At 44.5% G+C, this 7,129-nt stretch overlaps 1 annotated feature.

The window, feature by feature from the left end:
- Positions 2,292-2,793: an enhancer, noted in NCBI's record as "H3K27ac hESC enhancer chr9:79571299-79571800 (GRCh37/hg19 assembly coordinates)". NCBI's record gives its function as "activates a minimal SCP1, AML or CMV promoter by ChIP-STARR-seq in naive H9 embryonic stem cells {active_cell/tissue: H9 hESC(naive)}" and the evidence as "EXISTENCE:reporter gene assay evidence [ECO:0000049][PMID:30033119]".

Genomic DNA, 7,129 nt, shown 5'->3' with positions numbered 1-7,129 from the left:
CACATATATATATACACACACATATATATACACATATATATATACACATATATATACATATATATACACACACATATATGTATATGTATATATATATATCTGTGTGTGTGTGTGTGTGTATATATATATATATATATTTTTTTTTTTAAAGAAGGAGTTTCACTCTTGTTGCCCAGGCTGGAGTCCAGTGGCACAATCTTGGCTCACTGCAACCTCTGCCTCCCGGGTCCAAGCGATCCTCCTGCCTCAGCCTCTCGAGTAGCTGGGATTATAGGCGTGTGTCACCATACCCGGCTAATTTGTTGTAGTGTTAGTAGAGATGGGGTTTCACCATGTTGGCCAGGCTGGTCTTAAACTCCTGACCTCAGGTGATCCACCCGCCTCGGCCTCCCAAAGTGCTGGGATTACAGGTGTGAGCCACTGCGCCTGGCCTCTCTACTATATTTTAAACTTACATATTTAACCTAACCTGTTCTGCTGCTCTTTTTCCATTAGTGCAAAAATTGCATCGTGGTTATCTAAATGGAAACACATTTCTTTTCCTGTCGTTCTATATGTCAACAATGCCATAATCTGCTTAGTGGTACCCCAAACATACTTGGAAGTCATCTCTGAGTCCTCCAATTCTTACAGCTTCTATCTCTAACCACCAACTCAAAGCGCTTTTTAGTCTTGCTAAATATTTCTCAAATTCATCCTATTTTGTTGTTATACCCTCAGTACCATTGTCTTAGTTCAAACCCTTATTATTTCTTGCCAAGATCATTGCACTCAACTTCTAACTGTGCTCCTGGTCTCCAGTCCTGCCTGACACAAAGCCAATTTCCACATTGCTGCAGAATGATCTATATGAAATGCAGTCCAATCATATTACTCCTCGGCTAAAAAAAGTCCTTAAACAGCCTACCATCATCTGCAGAGTACAGCTGAGATCTCTGAACATGATGTACACCTTCCTTTACAGTCTCTCCTCAGCCTCATCTCTTGCAGCTCCCCATACCACACATCAGTCCCAACCATTCTAATCTACCTGCAGTTTCTCAAATGCATTGAGATTTCTTGATTCTGATGCTTTGCTCGGGATGTTTCCCAGGCCTCTGTGCTTAAGGCTTCTGTTCTGCATTCAAGATTCAACAAGAGGGCAAATCCTCCATGGAGGCTTCCCTGCTTGCCCAGTCAGGATTACCTCCTCTTTGCTCATGTCACATGCTGTACATAACTTCATCAAGGCAGGGACTATATCTGTATTTATTCCTGGGGCTTAACAAAATACTTGGCCCATAGCTTACAAACATTATGGAGTAAGTAAATGAATCTAAGGAATTGGATCTCCTCTATATTGAAACTATCTGGTTTTCCACCTTCCCTAGCCTGTAATCTCTTGAGGGCTGGAACTGTCTCTAGTCTCTGTCAATAGCACCTGCAGAATGCCCAGCTCACAGGACAGTTTCAGTAAATATTTGTTGGATAAATGAATGAAGCAAAGTGGATATTCTTGCAATTGGTGCAATTTAAGTTAATCTTTCTGCCTTTGCTTATCCCTATAGGTGGACACTGAGCCTGACAGTAAAAAAGTACAGAAAACAACAGACGTTATTGATGCTTTAATACATTCACACGGGCGGAGTGGGCATTTCTGGCTCGGGTATGGTTTTTTCTGCCCTAAGCAGCCACAGGAAGGCAGGAGGCTACTTACGTTGTTCATAATTTAACAAGAACATACTGACCTTTCCACTATTGGGCAGCTACTCAGTGACAAAAAGAATCTCTTCTCATCTAGCTTGAAGTCAGATCCTGTTTTGAGCTGCTGTGGATAGCTCAAAAAGAGATATCAACCTTTTGGGTAATCCTTTCTGAAATAGATGAGATTCTTTAAGGTATTATTAAAATAACTGATCACTATGAAATCAAATTTATCTGATGCATTTTAGGTTATAAACTTCTTTCAGATGCATGTCAAATTCAACGTGCAGTATGTGAAAATTGGCCAGGGCTGGCTTTAAGGCAACATTGATGGAGTAGCCCTGATTTCTCCATTTCTTCTTCAAGCTCTCTTGCTTTGCCGCAGAAAAGCCCCATGCCATCTCCCTGCTCCCCAGGCTCCTCCATACCCCACCTAACCCTAGCATCCTGAATGAAATGAGGTTCGTCAGGCATCCATGTAACATATACATGTCATCACATGTTCCTTTAAAAGCAGTCATTTGCTTTAGTAAAGGGATTGTGGAAAATTAAGCAGAAGAGGAAAAGAAAGACTGTTTGCACTAACGCTGGGTCTCTGGTAATCACCTACCTTACTGCTTCTTAACTTCATTCCAGTTCAGCCACTTGGTCCCGTGGTCACACCTTGGACCCTGTCATTTTCAGAAACTACTCCATCTGCAGTCTTAATTTCAGATATCCTGTTTTCTTTTTTCTTTTTCTTTTTTTGTAGAAGGAAGGGCTTTATTCAGCTGGGAGCATCGGCCAGCTACTGTCTCAAAATCTGAGCTCCCTGAGTGCACAATTTCTGCCCTTTTAAGGGCTCACAACACTAAAGATTTCACTTGAAAGGGTCGTGATTGATGTGAGCAGGCAAGGGGTACATGACAGGGGCTGCACGCACCAGTGGTCAGGGAGGAACAGAACAGCGCAGGGAGTTTCACCGTGTTCTTCTATACAATGTAAGGAATCTATGAATAACATCAGCTTCTAAATCATAAGTTGATTTTTAACTACTGGGTTTAAGCCAGGCAGGCCCAGGCCTGGTTTCGGGCCTGGCGCTGGGCTGCCTGTCTTGGTTTTACTTCCTTGTGGTTTTTACTGAATATAAAACAATGTGAGAGGGTCTTTCTCTCCTCTCACATACACAGTCAATGGTTTAAATTGCATTAATTTAGATTCTCAATTCTTTTTTTTTTTTTTTTTTTATTGATCATTCTTGGGTGTTTCTCGCAGAGGGGGATTTGGCAGGGTCACAGGACAATAGTGGAGGGAAGGTCAGCAGATAAATAAGTGAACAAAGGTCTCTGGTTTTCCTAGGCAGAGGACCCTGCGGCCTTCCGCAGTGTTTGTGTCCCTGGGTACTTGAGATTAGGGAGTGGTGATGACTCTTAACGAGCATGCTGCCTTCAAGCATCTGTTTAACAAAGCACATCTTGCACCACCCTTAATCCATTCAACCCTGAGTGGACACAGCACATGTTTCAGAGAGCACAGGGTTGGGGGTAAGGTCACAGATCAACAGAATCCCAAGGCAGAAGAATTTTTCTTAGTACAGAACAAAATGAAAAGTCTCCCATGTCTACCTCTTTCTACACAGACACGGCAACCATCCGATTTCTCAGTCTTTTCCCCACCTTTCCCCCCTTTCTATTCCACAAAACCGCCATTGTCATCATGGCCTGTTCTCAATGAGCTGTTGAGTACACCTCCTGGACAGGGCGGCTGGCCGGGCAGAGGGGCTCCTCACTTCCCAGTAGGGGCGGCCAGGCAGAGGCGCCCCTCACCTCCCGGACGGGGTGGCTGGCCGGGTGGGGGGCTGACCCCCCCACCTCCTTCCCGGACGGGGCGGCTGGCCGGGCAGAGGGGCTTCTCACTTCCCAGACGGGGTGGCTGCCAGGCGGAGGGGCTCCTCACTTCTCAGACGGTGTGGCTGCCAGGCGGAGGGGCTCCTCACTTCTCAGACGGGCAGAGACGCTCCTCACATCCCAGACGGGGCTGCAGGGCAGAGGCGCTCCCCACATCTCAGACGATGGGCGGCCGGGTAGAGACGCTCCTCACTTCCTAGATGGGATGGCGGCCGGGCAGAGACGCTCCTCACTTTCCAGACTGGGCAGCCAGGCAGAGAGGCTCCTCACATCCCAGAAGATGGGCGGCCAGGCAGAGACGCTCCTCACTTCCCAGACGGGGTGGCGGCCGGGCAGAGGCTGCAATCTCGGCACTTTGGGGGGCCAAGGCAGGCGGCTGGGAGGTGGAGGTTGTAGCGAGCCGAGATCACGCCACTGCACTCCAGACTGGGCACCATTGAGCACTGAGTGAACGCGACTCCGTCTGCCATCCCGGCACCTCGGGAGGCCGAGGCTGGCGGATCACTCGCGGTTAGGAGCTGGAGACCAGCCTGGCCAACACAGCGAAACCCCGTCTCCATCAAAAAAATACGAAAACCAGTCAGGCGTGGTGGTGCGCGCCTGCAGTCGCAGGCACTCGGCAGGCTGAGGCAGGAGAATCAGGCAGGGAGGTTGCAGTGAGCCGAGATGGCAGCAGTACAGTCCAGCTTCGGCTCGGCATCAGAGGGAGACCGTGGCAAGAGAGGGAGAGGGAGACCGTGGGGAGAGGGAGAGGGACAGGGAGAGGGAGAGGGAGAGGGAGAGGGAGAGATTCTCAATTCTTATAAAGGCCAGTTTCCCTGAACCATTCAATCACCAAAGAGGAGAACTGGGGGTGTTGGAAGCAGACAAAATGGGGGACCTGACCAACTCAGTATACCACTGGAGGCTTTCATGCACGTCCTTGTGAAGAGACCACCAAACAGGCTTTGTGTGAACAACATGGCTGTTTATTTCCCAGATATCCTGTTTTCTACTGAGACCTCCTGTCCTTCCAGTTTGCTTGCTAAGATAACCCACGGGCATGTTCCTTTGATGTTCTTTAGACAGCCAATCAATCCATTGATCCTCATCACCTTCTTGTTACTTTCTTTCTTTCTTATCCAGGTAGATTTCAAGGTTCAACACAGTCATTCCTTTGCAAACACTGTCAGCTTTCCTCCCCATTTTCTGTTCATCATACTCATACTCACTTGACAAAACCCCAACCTTGGAATAACCCTCCCATCTATCTTCCCTGTGCCTCCATTTGAGCAGTTCAATGTTGATGGACAAAATTGTACAAGCGAATGGACCTGGCTCACTTAAATTGCACAAGAGAATGAACTTAGCTTAATTAATGCCAATTTGAGGCTTAAGTTTATTCCTAAGCCTCAAATCGGCATTAATCCTACTTAGTGGGCTTCTTCCTGGAATTATTTTTTTTCTTCTTTTACGGGTCCAATGGCCCTTCTTCCATCATTAGTCTTAGCTGATAACTCATCCTCAGACTTAGAGACCCTTAGTGTCCCTGCTCATCAGAACCTGCAGCCTGACTTACAGTTGCACCCACCTTCACCTCCTGCCCTTGCAGCCAAAGCCAGTCCTTCTCCTTGTCCCTGGATTTTATCCACATCACCTTTCATTTCTCCCATTGTCATCAATAGCCAGGAATAATTGTGTTAGCTGCATGACAAAAATAATATCATAAATATTTTCTCCTAATATGATCATAATTGTTAATTTAGACCTAATAGGATAATTATTGTGTATTGAATATTTTTCTCCAAAAATCCTCATGCAGACTACTTCCGGAAAATTAATCTGCCCCTTAAACTACAGTGCTCTATTTTCTATCATAGCAAAATTTCACTTCTCTGCCTGCCTTTTAAGTAGCTCCTAGCCTGGGCTTGCCTTATTCTAGTCCTATTTTCACTCATTTTGCATCCCAATCTACTAGTTAGGGTGGTCTCCTCATTTTCTCATGACATACCTTTATTAATATCTTGCCTTCACCCAAAACACTCTGTGTTTCCTGCTCAGATATCAAGAGGCACAGAGGAACTCCATTTGAGATGTCTCTGACCCCCAAGCCCTTAAACTCAGTGTCTTTTAAAAATTATTATTATTTTAATTTTTTGAGATGTAGCCTCACTCTGTTGCCCAGGCTGGAGTACAGTGGCGCCATCTCGGCTCACTGCAATCTTCATCTCCCAGGTTCAAGCAATTCTCTCTCCCTCAGTCTCCCGAGTAGCTGGGATACAGGCGCCTGCCACCATGCCCTGCTAATTTTTGTATTTTTAGTAGAGACAGGCTTTCGCCATGTTGGCCAGGTACTCTTGACCTCAGGTAATCCACCCATCTCAGCCTCCCAAAGTGCTGGGATTACAGCATGAGCCACCCTGCCCAACCCCAGCATTTTAATAAAATTATTGCAATTTAAATAATATCTATTTTATTTTGTATTTTTAAGAAACACATAGATTGTAAAAATGCCAGAAATGTCTTGCTTTTAAAAATAATTCAAATATTTTAGCTTTATATTACAGATAATGTCAAACATAAAAGTAGAGACTAATATAATAAACACACCTGTAATTATTACTCAGCTTCAAAAATGAACATTTTCCCCCATCTTATTGAATTTATCCCCTTCTATTTTTTTAAGAATTTTAGATCAAATCTCAGACATCATGCTTTTTTATTCTTGAATGCTTAAATATGCAGTTCTAACCAATAAGAACTTTTAAAAAACCCTGACCACTATGCTGTCATCATACCTTATAAAATTAATAATTTCTTAATATCATCCAATATAGGGTTTCTCAACTTTGGCAATATGAAATTTGAGGCCAGATAATTCTCTGTTGTTGGGGGCTGTTCTGTGCACTGTAGAAAGTTTAGGAGCATCCTGGTCTTTACTACCAGATGCTAACAGCACACCTTTCATCATGGCAACCAAAAATGTTTCTAGAGTGGGAGGAAAATCACACCTGGTTGGGAATCACTGATCTAATGCCAGTTTCTATTTAAGTTTGTACAGTTGTTTAAAACAAATTTTTAAACATTTATTTATTTATTTATTTATTTTTTTTTTTTGAGACGGAGTCTTGCTGCGTCACCCAGGCTGGAGTGCAGTGGTGCAATCTCAGCTCACTGCAACTTCCGCCTCCCAGGTTCAAGCGATTCTTCTGCCTCAGCCTCCTGAGTAGCCGGGATTACAGGCATGCACCACCACACCTGGCTAATTTTTGTATTTTTAGTAGAGATAGGGTTTCACCATGTAGGCCAGGCTGGTCTCGAACTCCTGACCTCAGATGATCCGCCCGCCTTGGCCTCCCAAAGTGCTGGGATTATAGGCATGAGTCACTGCATGCAGACTATTTTTATTATACATTGACAAATTACAGTTATGTATATTTATGGGTACACAATGGTGTTATGATTTTTGAATACAATGTGGAAAGATTCAATTAAGCTAATTAACATATCCATATCTGAAAGTCTAACATTTTTGTGATGCAAACATTAGAAACTTACTCTTTTAGCAATATTGAAATGTG

Source organism: Homo sapiens, chromosome 9 (assembly GCF_000001405.40).
Source record: "Homo sapiens chromosome 9, GRCh38.p14 Primary Assembly".
NCBI classification, from domain to species: Eukaryota; Metazoa; Chordata; class Mammalia; order Primates; family Hominidae; genus Homo; species Homo sapiens.
The sequence above is the reverse complement of the archived record's forward strand: the minus strand, read 5'-3'. Positions and strand labels throughout refer to the sequence as shown.